This window comes from Homo sapiens, chromosome 9 (genome assembly GCF_000001405.40).
Source record: "Homo sapiens chromosome 9, GRCh38.p14 Primary Assembly".
Taxonomy (NCBI): Eukaryota; Metazoa; Chordata; class Mammalia; order Primates; family Hominidae; genus Homo; species Homo sapiens.
The window spans coordinates 37,206,052-37,220,183 of NC_000009.12; the positions used below are offsets into that span (position 1 = coordinate 37,206,052).

Consider the following 14,132-nt stretch of genomic DNA (forward strand, 5'->3'; position numbering starts at 1 on the left):
AATATAGGCAGCCACTCTTGCTATCTTTTCTGCCATTTTTTAGTTCTTTTATTTTTAACAGATATATGTCTAAAAGGTAGGTTTTGTGTGGAAAGCATGTAGGAGGGTTCTTTCCCTGATTTCAAGTAGTTCCTTCCATCCCCACACAAGAGAATAGTACTAAGCCAGAAAATTGATGAAACCAATCTTCAGCTTTCTTTCCCCTCCCTCTCTTCCCCTCCCGGCTTTCTCCCTCCCTTCCCCCTTCCCCCTCTCCCTCTCCCTCCTCCTCCCCACTTCTCTCTCATTCCTCTTCCCTCCCGCCTTCACCTTTCCCGCTTCGTTTTGGCAGGGTCTCCCTCTGTTGCCCAGGCTGGAGTGTGGTGGCGCGATCTTGGCTCAGCGCAACCTGCTGGACTCAAGCAATCCTCCCACCTCAGCCCCCCGAGTAGCTGGGACTACAAGTATGTACCACCACATCCAGCTAATTTTTGCATTTTTTGTAGAGATGGGTTTTGCCCATGTTGCCCAGGCTGGTCTCAAACTCCCGGGCTCAAGCGATCCACTTGCCTCAGCTTCCTAAAGTGTTGAGGTTACAGGTGTGAGCCACGATGCTGGGCCTAGCTTTCTATGTGGCCAGTTTCTCTGGTATTTTTCTCTGGAAATTGCAGCGACTTTGACCTGTGTACATTCTGTGATCTGTCCTTGACACTCAATTACGTAGATGGGGTCTGGTTTGACTACCTCCTCCCTTACAAGGTGGCCAGGAAACCTTCTCAATGTAAGATTCAACTTACCTATTTCCTTTCTCTCCAGGATCACTATTCTGCCATGTCTGTGTGTCTAAAAGTGTTTCAGGCAGAGGCAGGGGGATCTCTTGAGGCTAGGAGTTTGATATCAGCCTGGATAACTTAGTGAAACTGTAGTCTCTCCAAAAAAAAAAAAAATCGTTGGTCATGGTGGTGTGCAACCGTAGTCCCAGCTACTGGAGAGGCTGAGAAGGGAGGATCGCTTGAACCCAGGAGTTTGAGGCTACAGTGAGCTATGATCTTACCACTGTACTCCAGCCTGGATGACAAAGCCAGACTCTGTCTCTAAATGAATGAATGAATACAGTTGTGTCTTCTTATTGTTTAGAGTTGAAGTATATGTAGTCCTTGTTACTCCATCATAACTGAAAGTGTAATTTTGCTTTCATTCTTAAATGATATATTTGGAGCATATAATCTCATTTGAAAGCTTTTTTTAGCACTTGCAATGTGTATTTCTACTGTGTTCTGGCATTTATTATTTTTTATGATGTCAGTAGTCATTTTTTTTCTATACGTTAATGTGTCATTTTTCTCTGCCTTCTTTCAAGATTATTTCTGTATTTAAACTTTCTAGTAGTTTGTGATGTGCCTGGTTGTACATTTTTTGTATTTTTCCTGGTTGGAGATCAAACTTTTATTTATTATTTCTCCAGAGTTTTTTTTTTTTTTTTTTTGCCTTGTGTTCAAGACTAAAACTTTTTTCTTGCTTCATTTTTTCCTTCTGGTCATTCTTGTATTCCTGTAATACATGTGGTAATCCGTTGCTGTGTCCTACAGTTTATGATGCTCTGTTTAAAACAAAAAAAAAATCGATTTTCTGTTTGTCGGATCGGATAATTTTTACTGATCTATGTTCATGCCTACTAACTTTTCCTTCTGTCATATCCAATCTGCTATTTAGCCCATTCAGTGATTTTTAAAAATATTTCAGATACTATATTTTCTACTTCTAAATTTTCCATTGCTTTAAAAAAATAATTTCTATTTCTCTGGTGTGATTTCCTATCTGTTTAATCATTGCCAGCATTTTTTTTCAAATTAATAAGTTTTATTTTTGATATTTATGTTCATCGTTTTATCACTTTTTATGACCGAGGTTTAGTGAATAGTTTTAAGTTTTTGTTAAGTAAATTAGTAGGCCCTCCTGTACTCTGGCCCTCCTTTCTGTGTTAGTGGTGTTCACATCAGTTTTTTAAATGAATGATTTGGTGCTCCTGGTTTCTCCAGTGTATTTTTTGTTACGGCTTCTGCTTTTGTTTGTTTGTTTTCAGACAAGGTCTTACTCTGTCACCCAGGCTGGAGTGCAGTGGCATGATCACACATCCTCGACCTCCTGGGCTCAGGTGATCCTCCCACCTCATCCCCTCGAATAGCTGAGATTACAGGCGTGCACCACCACACGCGGCTAATTTTTGTATTTTTAGTACAGATGGGGTTTCACCATTGTTGCCCAGGCTGGTCTTGAACTCCTGAGCTCAATTGATCCACCTGCCTCGGCCTCCCAAAGTGTTAGGATCACAGACGTGAGCCACCACTCCCGGCCTATTAAAGCTTCTGAAACACAGTCTACTAGATTGCCTTCACCAACCCTTTCTCACTTCTAGCTTTAATAGGCAGGAGTGCTGCTTCAGCAAAAAGAAGGGTGAGAGCAAGTTTAGAAATGGCAGTGTTGAATGAGGTGAAATGAGAATAGGTAATGTGTAACAGATCATATTGAGTGATGATTATGGGCTGGCAGCATCTCTAGTAATCCTGAGCTGCTTTCTGGTACTTACATCTCATGTCCACACCAGCAGCAAAACTTGTCACTTTAAGCCTTTGAAATATACTTAGAATCAGAACCTGGTTACTTCTTACCCATCTACTCTGCCATCACTTTGTTCCAATTCACCATTATCATAGTTTGAACTGTTGGAGTGGTGTCTAGATTTTTGTTCTTCATTTTTCCACCAAGCAGCTAGAGAGGTCCTTTTAACACATAAATCAGACAATGTCATTTCTTTGCACACAGCTCATTCATTTCATGGCAAAAAAGGCTATATATGATATGGTTCTTTATCTTTCTGATCTTATCTCCTAATACTATCACCTATCAATGCTCTGCTTCAGCCACATTGACTTCTTTTTAAAAAATTTTAAAAAATATTAATAACTTTATTCTTTTCTGTTTTTACTGGGGCTGGCATAATAAAATACAACCGCAATTTTTTTTTTTTGAGATGGAGTCTCACTCTGTTGCCCAGGCTGGAGTGTAGTGGTGCGACCTCAGCTCACTGCAAGCTCCACCTCCCAGGTTCACGCCATTTGCCTGCCTCAGTCTCCCGAGTAGCTGGGACTACAGGCGCCCACAACCACGCCTGGCTAACTTTTTGTATTTTTAGTAGAGACGGGGTTTCACCGTGTTAGCCAGGATGGTCTCGATCTCCTGACCTTGTGATCTGCCCACCTCGGCCTCCCACAGTGCTGGGATTACAGGCATGAGCCACCACGCCTGGCCATTTTTTTTTTAAAGTTCCAAGTATATTCCTGTCTTAGAGCTTTTGCAGGTATCGTGCCCTCTGTTGTGTATGCTTTCCAACCTCAATATTTACATGGCTGTCTTCCTCAATTTTTTCAATCTTGCTCAAATATCATCAGAGAGAATTCCCCTCACCTGTATAAAATAACATCTTTGTCTACCCTTTTCATTTTCTCTCCCCCTTTTCTTAATGTTTTATATGCATATGTATGTATACACATGTGTGTATATATGTATTTAATGGTTTCACTCTACCTGTTAAAGAAGAACCCTTTTTGTTTCATTTCTGCATCCCCAGGGCCTAGAAACAGTACTCAAATACTTCTTGAATGCATGACTGAATAAACTGGATAAATATTTGTGTTTATAAGGGAAATCAGTGGGCATATAGCAGCATTAGGACTCTGGAGAAGTGTGGAGTAGTTAGGTAGGGGTGTGTTCTGGAGAGAATAAGTTACTGGAGTGGACATGTTCATGCTAAAGATTATTTGTGGGCAGATTACTTGGGCAGATAGTAATACATGAAGTCAGAAGCCTTTCTGGATTATTGGTTTCTCTTTGAATCCACCAAGGACAGTTTTTTTTTCTCTTCATTTGACCCCATGATATAGGATTAGGTTTCTTTCTTTTTCTGTTTCTTCTTCCTGTTTTTTTATTTATTTTTATTTTTTTATTTTTTGGCTTCAGAGTGAGCAAGCTTTCTTTCACCCTTTCTTGGCTCTCTGGTTTATTGTCATAGCCAGTCCTTTCCTGCCAGCTTGATTGTCTTCCCTCTAGTGGCTGGCTCTCATCTCCCTGGCTTCTTTTTTGTCAGGAAGGGTGTTGTGTATGTGCACTTTATCCCTGAATGCTAAGAGAGGACTTGTCAAACTGACAGTTGGTGTGACTGCTGGCTGCCACTTGACACGGAGAATGACATCTAAAAGTCTGCATTTGCAGCCGTGGACCTTCAAGAGACTCATAGAAGAGGCTGTACTTTTTCAGTGAGAAATAACCACATCTATGAACATTTAGTATTTATAATATTAAAATGTATCCTTTCACTAAACTATATTTAGCCCTCATACTGTTCATCCTATCTTATATTACTGATCTTTTTCATGTGATAAATAAGATTATGTAGAAAACACCAAGATTTTTCAGGAGTAGTGTATAATAATGAACAAGGTTTATTTCATTTGTTTCTTGTGTGCATTACATCATTCATTTCCCTCCCATTTTGACATCTGCAATGGCTCCCTGATATCTACTAAATATAACTATTTAACCAGCATCTAAGGCAATTCATAATATGCCCCAACCTACTTTTTAAAATCTTATTTCTTAGTCCCCTCACAGATTTTCTCTACCCTATTCCACTGGTTTCTAAACAGGTTTTTTTTGAAGCCTCTTAGGCATTCCCTTGGAAAGGTAGGGGTCAAGTCACCAGATTTCTATCCTCAACCTTTAGGCTTTAATCTCTTTTGCATATTTTGGTTTCTTTAAAATAGGGCTCTATAACTAAAAGAGGTTTGAAAGTCACTCCATTTGTCTGGTCAGATGATTAGTCTCTATGTCTTTCAGTCTGTCTCTGCCTCTTTCTCCTGTACACATACTCCCTAGGGCCTTATACTTAAACATTTTCTTGTGGCTTTACTTTTCTGTGTAGTTCCTTCTGCCAGGAATGCTAATGTCTCCAGTTGATCATTCATATAGTGAGTTTTGCTGGTTAGCTGGAACAGTGTGACAGTTTTAAACATTTTATTTTTATTTCTAAAGAATTTCCAGTAAGCTGGGAATTAAGTGTTTCGCATGATCAAAACGTTTAGGGATTAATATATGTTTTGTTACCTTATGACATTGTATGAACGATGGAGAAAGACAGATTTTTACAAATGTTAGAAATGTAAAGTCTTGAATTGGGTCATAATTTTTTCAATGAAGGTGTGAAGTTTAAGTTTAGTGGGAGAGAGTGATTCAGCATACATATGGTTTTACTTGTAGGGTTTTTTGGTTTGTTTGTTTTGGGGTTTTGGTTTTGGTTTTGGTTTTTTAATAACATAAGCTGTATATGCAGCCAAGATAGATTACATTATACATATTATTTTTCTTCCATCTTTATCATCAAATACTGAGTTCTCTCACAGTGCTTTGATTCACACTAGAGATTTTTTTTTATTTATAATGCAGATAAGTAGTATGTTTTGTAATGATAGTTCTCATTTCTGGATACTTTTAAAGCTTCAGTTTTCATGTCTTAGTAATAGGATGTTAATTATGTGATATTATTTTATCTTTAACATTTTTCACTGTAGAATATTAATATGGAAATGTTGCTCAGCAGTCTGCAAAGGACTGTTGCTAGTGTAAAACATTAAGTCATTTCGCTTAGAAAATCTGTGGCTAGGGCCGGGCGCGGTGGCTCACGCCTGTAATCACAGCACTTTGGGAGGCCAATGTGGGCGGATCACGAGGTCAGGAGATCGAGACCATCCTGGCTAACACGGTGAAACCCCATCTCTACTAAAAATACAAAAAATTAGCCGAGTGTAGTGGCAGGCGCCTGTAGTCCCAGCTACTTGGGAGGCTGAGGCGACAGAATGGCATGAACCCGGAGGCGGAGCTTGCAGTGAGCCGAGATGGCGCCACTGCACTCCAGCCTGGGTGACAGAGCGAGACTCCGTCTCAAAAAAAAAAAAAAAAAAAAAAAAAAAAAAAAAAAAAAAGAAAATCTTTGGCAAAATCACTGGGGATGATTTTACCTCCCAGGATCATTTTGATAATGTCTGGAGACATTTTTGATTGTTACAACCTAGTGGCAGCTGGGGAGGCGGAGGAGGCACTACTGGCATTCAGTGGGTAGAGGCCAGAGTTGTTGCTAAACATCCTGCCACTAAATAAATGTTTTTGTGGCCCAAAATGTCAGTAGTACCAAGATTGAGAAACCCTGAGCCAATCTTCTACCATACCTAAAAAAAAAATTTTACTTAGAAATATTTTAATTTGTTTGTACAGGCATACTGATTTAGTCAGCCATTATCCTAATGATTCCTTTAAAAAAATTTTTGGAGTGGGAAAATAAAGACTTTTTCTACTTTAGAAAAGAGCAGATCTTTAAAAAAAATTGCTTTTCTTAAGGGTGTAATTGTGAAATAGCTTGCTTTCTTTTTCTCTTTCTCTTTCTTTTCTTTTTAGTTGGCTATCTGAATCATTGAGATGAACTGAAAATTAGATCTTAGCAAATAATTCTGCCAACAGTGGAACTCTAAGGCTCTGGTATCAGCTTAAGGCAGCCCAGCCTTACTTCAGAGTCCCCATCGAACAGATCGTTCACCTTGTTGGATGAATTGCTTCTCTCTCAGGATTAATTAAGAAAATGTTAATACTTTTCTTCCTCTTCTTGCTTCCTTGACCCCTAAACACAGTGTTAACAGCTTCTCTACCTGTACATCAACAATATATCAGTGTATACACCTTCTGAATCCTTCTATATCTTTCTCCATGCTTGTCCAAAGAACACATGCACAGTAGTTTTGGGGTCATTGTTTTTTTTACAGACTTCTCTGAGACATACCTTTTTCACTTTTACTATGTAAGTTTCCCTGGTTGATAGAGGGCTTGACTTTTTAATAGCTGTAATTATATTCTATAGAATAGACAGAGTGGATGTTCGGAATTTACTGAACTCTTCGCTTAGATATTCAACTGTTTTCTGTTTTTTAAAACCATTTTAAACAATATTGCAAATACATGTATACTTTTCTGCTGAATTTTTATTTACCAATAAAATTGGTTTAGTAATGTTTAGTACCAAGAAGGATTAATGAGGATAACCACAAATTATTTGAGCTTCAACTTTTTTTGAAAGTTGTATTTGACCAAAAGGTCCTTCCTCCACACAATTTTGAAGATAATGTAATTACTGCTCAACCTGACCTGGATAGTGTTATTTCCTTGTTTAAAGGGGGCAAGCAAATAGTTTTAGCTAAAATGACAATATAACAGAAAACCTGTAGTTCCACAGGATGAATAAAGACAGACTTAGAAATTATATTGGTAAATATGTTATTTTAAGAAATATTAGTTAAAATTTCAAAAGCAGATCATTCAAGGCAGCAACAGAACCCTTGTTAGTTGCTTTATTGATACAGGGATCCTAATACTGTCTGAAAACTTTTAACAAGGTGTCAAATTCAGAATATGCTTTTTATTGTTAGTAATGTCTATTTATCTGATGATTCATACTTAGTAAATGCATAAATATTGAGTAAATGTTTTAGATTCATTGATCTGCAAGGCAGATGGTATAAGAATAGCCTGGATACATGAATTCTAATCCTACTTGTGCTGTTGTTGACTAGTACCAATATGCCAAGTTTTCACCTCCTGAGAGTGCCTTTCCTTTCCTTATTGTAAAATTGATTGTTTCTAAAGTGTTTTGATTATAAAAATTTCTGATTTATTATCTTGCACATTGTTTTAAAGAAATGGATGATAAAATCATATACTTATTTAATATTGCATATTTCCATTTCCCTGGCTCAGTGCAGAGTAAATCAACAACATTGAAAAGCTAGTTGGGAATCGGAGATGATAGATAGCTTTTTCTAAGTTTTTAGGTCCTTAACCAATATTTGGTATGAGATTCGCTCAATGGTGTGTATGTGTGTGTGTGTGTGTGTATTTGTGTGTTAGAATTCATCAGACAAGAAAATTAATTTCTATTTTAGATATTTTACAAAGAATCACTTATTCCTAGGATTGTTCCCCAAGACATCTGAAATCTTAATTTGCATATCTATGTGGCAAAGCTTTAAATTTAAGTTATCCAGTAGTTTAACATAAAATCATACTGAAACACTCATTAACACATTTGAGTATACTATGTAAGTTCAGAATATAAATTACTTAGTACTGAGCCATGCTGCATTAAGTTAATCTTTATGTTGTTAGATTATTTTTATGTTAAGGAAACATTATCCCAGATTCGGTTTTTCTAGATACATAGAAAGGGACATACTGGATGTTTTTATTATGTTGAATGAAGCTGTGCATTGAAGCTATTATACTTAAGAAACATTTTTATGACAGTTTAGCTTTTTCAGCTGCTTTCATTATGTTGTGTTTTTTAGAAGTCTATTCAGGGTATTTTTAATGTCTTAACTAACAATATGATTTTTGAGCTATGTTTCTGTCGTGTTGTTTCTCATCACTATATGGATAGAATTAGTTATATAGTAACAATGCCTCTGTGCTCCTTTACCACCACAAAATACTTATTTTATTTTAATTCTTATTTATTAGTTGAATTATTTATTACATTAATTTAATTCTTATTTTCTTTGATGTTTTATGAAGCAGAGTTTATTTTCATAATTGTGTCTCATAATTCTGTACAATAATTGTTGGAGGAGTATGTTTAGTGAAAACAAATTAAAGGTGGAAGAGATACTATTCTTCCTCAGCATTGGTAATAATGAAGCTCAATTTCAAGTCATATACTTTTTTGTTATTTGGGTATTGAATATCAGTTTTTGTGAAACTAATATTGCAACCTATACAGTTGAAGAAAGAGATATTTCTGATGTAATCTTATAAATCAGGGTGTAGGAAAATAAAAACTTTATTTTGTAGATTAAAGCTCACCCTATGTTACATTAAATTTTAATAACATTGATATTCTGCTTGCTTTATGAAACCTTTTATTACAAACAGTTATGAATATGAACATCTCATTTGACTACTGATGAACAGAGGGAAAAATCTAAATTAAAACTTTAAATACCACTATTTAATTACCCAAATGGCTTTGACTGTGTTAAAGAGTGTCTGGGATTATTCTGTTTTTCAATTTGTTTTAATGCTTCCTTGGTAAAAGCTGATGGATTCCCAGGCCCATTGCTGTCACTGATGAACTATATAAAGATAAATGACATTATGGTAAATTCCACTTAATGACACATTTTTAATTTTCAGAACACAGACATTTTCAGGCTAGTGAATGAAGGCTAATTACCTCAAGATCAGAACAAAATAACTCCTCATTTCGAAAGATAATAGAAAAGAAATGTTGCAGATTAATGATGCTATTTATCTTTAAAGGAAAAAAATTTTATCTTTATCCAGATAGCATAGCTCCCTAAGGAGCGTGGTTATAAAATGAATCTGAAGTCGCAACTTAATAGGTTATTAAAATTGTGAGTGCAGGCTCTCCTGCTTTAGTCTTTCCATAAATTTAAATTGAAGGTCTGCTTTATTCAAAAAGGAGCAGCTTGTTTATGAGGCCAGTGGGAGCAGCACACGTTACTGACAAAAGATGCACTTAACTTCATTCTAATGTCTTGCTTCTTTATTTCTCTGAATGACTGTCACCTATTTGAAAAAGTATTTTGAAATTTTGTTACCACTCTTAATTGATACCTAAGTGGAAGGGCCATACTTAGACTTGTTTAAGATTAAAATAAAAATGAATGCTGTAAATAAAAGCTGTAAAGCCTTTACTGCACACATATAAATCAATTTGTAATTGATTTAATTGTGTGTGTATATTTTTAAACATTTTAATTTTGTTATATAAGAGGAAAATATCTTGGCCTATGAGGGGTTGATTTTGTGGTCACAGTTGGAATTTATGTAGGAATTGTTCAATAAATCATTATTCACAGTTAAAGGATTAGCAATAATCCTTTTGCTACACTCCCACACAACTAACAAAGTAGTGACTCAGAGAATATTACTTGATCATAGAGGCTTTAAACTGTTCCTGACATCCTAAACTCCTGTCTTTTGCTGTAGGTAATAGAACTGTTATTTCTTTACTAACGAGGTCATATAGCATTTTCTGTAATTTTCATTCTTGTCTCTTAGAAAGTACATGAATTGCCTGTATATGGTTCATATTTCTGAGCCACAGAAAAATGTTTGTGAGCATGAAAGGAAATAGTTGTTGCTTGCATCTGATAGAAATTTTATTATATTATTGTGAGACATTATTTTATTTATACCTTTCCAATTTTATTTGCTCTAAATGGTTAGAAAACATATGTTTATCTTGGCCATACGCGGTGGCTCACGCCTGTAATCCTAGCACTTTAGGAGGCCGAGGTGGGCGGATCACTTGAGGTCAGGTGATCGAGACCAGCCTGACCAACATGGTGAAACCCCATCTCTACTAAAAATACAAAATTAGCTGGGCATGGTGGCACACACCTGTATTCCCAGCTACTTGGGAGGCTGAGGCAGGAGAATTGCTTGAACCTGGGAGGCAGAGGTTGCAGTGAGCCAAGATCACACCATTGCACTCCAGCGTGGGCAACAAGAGAGAGACTCTGTCTCAAAAATAAATAAATAAATAAATAAAAAGTGTATCTTATAGGGAGAGCATTATCTCATTGCCCATGGCATAATGTTGACATAAAATTTTCTATTAAGACATTTCTTAGAACAGCCAGAAAACGGAAGTCTTTGTAATTTTAATTGTAGTATGCATTTGATTTTATGTTAACTGTTATGAAAGCCTCTTATTTTTAAAATGTTCTTAAGTAGTTTTGACTCTGTAGATTAAGGATAATTTCTAATAATAATTATTAAATTTGAAATAAGATATTCATATTTACTCAAAACTGTAGGAAAATACTATAAAATGCACTTTATCCTCTATCTCACTTTTCTTTTTATTTAAAATTTCAATAATATTCCTACAAGGCTCCCTTTATTCTTTATTTGCTACAGGTGTATCTATCTTACAGTGACTTAAGGAGAGAAGCTGATGAGAATTCTGAAGGTTATGTTTTATAGTTAGAATCCTTCAGTGAAAACACAGATGAATATTTTTTCTTAATACTAAAATAATGTGTTTATATAATTACCTTATTTCTAATTCTTAACAGTATCCGTGAAAATAAAAAGAAATGTTTCATGCATATGAGAGAAATTTCAGCAATTATTTGTATCTTCTAAATTCATTTTTAAATGTGGCAAGCACTGTGTCTATAAGCCTATATGTTATTTCACAATAATTTTTGGAAATTTTCTGTTTTAGTCTATGTGAGTCATGTAAAAATTATAAAAACTTTTAGGAACTCAAGCAGCCTTCAATCAGTGAAAGAACTGTTTAGCATGATAATACAAAAATAAAACCTATAGTATTTTGGCACCTTATAAAGCTCCCCTTTCGCCTCAAATTTGATTAAAGTGGATACTTAGAATGTATGCAGTACATGTTTTCCACATGGTTATTATCCTTCAGCTGAAAAAAAATCCGTGTGATTATTGTTAGAATAATATACACTAAAATGTTCTAGAGCATTAATAATATTGTGTCCATGCTCTTGTCTAATTTTTCCCAATTATTGCTATTTTAAATTTCCAACAGTATCTTGTACTTAATCTTCATATGTGAGGATGAGTTTATTCTAAAGACATTTACACACAACTTAGAGAAAATGTCAGAGATTGTCAGGGTTATATTTTAGAGTCAGAGGTAATCCTACTCTGGATATGAAGATAAATCATTTTTTAAAATGTGCCAGTTTTCTCTTCAGTAATGATGATCTTGAATGAATATTCTGTTTGGAAATTCTCTGCTTATGGCCTATCAGTAGTTATTCCTCTGGATATATACTTTGGAAATTCTATTTTAAAGCATGTCATTAATTCTTTAGACTTAATCATCTTCTAGTTCTTTTTGCTGGACTCTGATATTAAAATTTAGCAGTAGCCTATGAAAAATCGTATGGAAAAGAGACAAATTTAGGGCCATTAAATTCCTAATTATGGTTTCATAACAAGGATCACGAGCTATTTACTGTTTACCTCCGTGACAGTTCTGGAATTTTGTTTTGATTGTCAAGTAGCAGATAGATCTAAGTATAAAGATTCTTGAAAGGGCAAAAAAAAAATCTTTGTGGATTCAAATCCTCAAATCCAACTACAATTAAATAATAAGGCCTTATCAGAAGTTATGAAGCATAATAAAGTGCTTTGTCTTTCCACTTGATTCCTTACTGACTCCCCAAGTTAACTATTATGGGTTCATGGTTAAGGCACACAATCAGGAGTGAAGTTCTAAGTTTTAATTTTAGCACTGGCTCAAGTTTTCATAATGTATATAAATTCATTCCCCCCTGTGTTTATTTTCTTACCTGTAAAACTTAGGGGTTTAAATGCATTCAAATTGTGTCCTGGGCCAGGCGTGGTGGCTCACGCCTGTAATCCCCCAGTGCTTTGGGAGGCCAAGGCTGACAGATAACTTGAGGTCAGGAGTTCGAGACCAGCTTGGCCAACATGGTGAAACCCTGTCTCTACTAAAAATACAAAAATTAGCTGGGCGTGGTGGCGCGCACTTGTAGTCCCAGCTACTCAGGAGGCTGAAGCAGGAGAATCGCTTGAACCTGGGAGATAGAGGTTGCAGTGAGCCGAGATTGCGCCACTGCACTCCAGCCTGGGTGACGGAGCGAGACTCCTCCAAAAATAAAAATAAAACGAATTGTATCCTGCAGAGCTTTAGAGATGGGAAAGAAGGTGTTAGAGAGGGGAACGTCTAGTGGGCAGCTCTGTAACTCTGCAGTCTTTTTTCTCCTTCCCTGCTTAACTAGAGCAACATTTTTTTTTTTTTTTTTTTTTGAGATTGGGATTCTCACTTGAGCCAGAGAGGCGGAGGTTGCAGTGAGCCAAGATTGCACCACTGTGCTCCAGCCTGGTGACAGAGCAAGATTCCATCCCCCCTAAAAAAGAAAAAAGATTGGGATTCTGCTTAAGGTTTGAGAAAAATGTTCTTTAAAAATGAAAACTAAAAACAAACAGAAAACAAAAGTTTTAAAACCACTTCCAGAATGGGCCAGGAATTGTCAAACTCTGGCCCACAGGCCACATCTGGCCCAATGCCCAATTTTTTGTAATGAATGTTTCTTTGGACAAAGCCACGCTCATTCATGTACATATTGTCCATTATGCAGCAGAGTTAGTAGTTGTGACAGAGACTATATGACAAGCAGAGGTCAAAATATTTATCTAGCACTTTGCCAAAAAAGTTTGCTAACTCCTGCACTAGGTACTCGCTCACTAATTTTATACCTGAAAATTAATTCCTTGAGATGGCTTAACTTCTGCTATATGCACTTCTCCTTCTTAGACTGCACACTAATTCATGGCTAATTCTTTTTGTTTTAATGCATTATTAAGGATTAATCTTCAGGGATTATGTTTAACCATTTAGCCTCTGTATTTCCTGGCACTCTTTTAAGAATTATTTTGTGCTTATTATTTTTCCTAAGGGATATAAAAATAAATATTGAATAGGAAATGGTTCATAGCCCATAGCCAGTTGGATTGGTAAAATTAATGCATCTGAAATGATTATAGGACATTTTAAGATATAATGTGGTATATTTAGAATCATGTGAGTCCAAAAGTTTAAATTGTGTAAGTCTAAAAGTAAGTTTAGGAGGAGTTCAGAGAAAATCAGTGTGGCTGGAATAGTCTATTTAGCTTTTCTTATTTTATTTTTTGATGAAATGTAACTTGAACTGGTCTCTGAAGACTAGGCAGAATTTGAATAGATATCAAGGACGTCAGGACATTCCTTGGGTGAGGAAGGTTTAGTGAAGGGTGGTGAAGGTTATTGAGTCCATGGGAGAAGTGAAAATGAGGTGTGGTATTAATAAGGAAAGAAAGGGTTGATTACCAGATGAAAGAGTTTGATGTGGAAAATACTTGTAAATCACTTTATGTTTCTGAGTAAGGAAGTAATGAAACATACGTACAAGTAATCAGTAAGACTTGTTAGACAGCTGTTGTTCAGTACTATGCTCAGTGTTTGAGAAGCTATGTAGGATATATATTGT

General features: G+C 36.0%; 1 protein-coding gene across 19 annotated transcripts in view, besides 3 other annotated features; it reads left to right on the forward strand.

Moving 5' to 3' along the window:
• Window positions 1-14,132, forward strand: part of ZCCHC7 (zinc finger CCHC-type containing 7) — a 237,983-nt gene that overhangs the window by 85,885 nt on the left and 137,966 nt on the right. The gene's annotated exons all lie outside the window — the stretch shown is intronic.
• Window positions 4,021-4,315: a silencer, noted in NCBI's record as "tiled region #4584; K562 Repressive DNase matched - State 5:Enh". NCBI's record gives its function as "represses a minimal TATA promoter and a strong SV40 promoter by Sharpr-MPRA in K562 cells {active_cell/tissue: K562}" and the evidence as "EXISTENCE:reporter gene assay evidence [ECO:0000049][PMID:27701403]".
• Window positions 7,304-8,503: an enhancer, noted in NCBI's record as "POU3F2 HCT in ZCCHC7 intron, chr9:37203352-37204551 amplified region (NCBI36/hg18 genome assembly coordinates)". NCBI's record gives its function as "activates a mouse minimal Fos promoter in transgenic zebrafish G0 embryos {active_cell/tissue: forebrain | midbrain}" and the evidence as "EXISTENCE:transgenic organism evidence [ECO:0001131][PMID:20363979]".
• Window positions 8,077-8,258: a conserved region, noted in NCBI's record as "conserved region; HCT with multiple POU3F2 binding motifs". NCBI's record gives the evidence for it as "EXISTENCE:sequence alignment evidence [ECO:0000200][PMID:20363979]".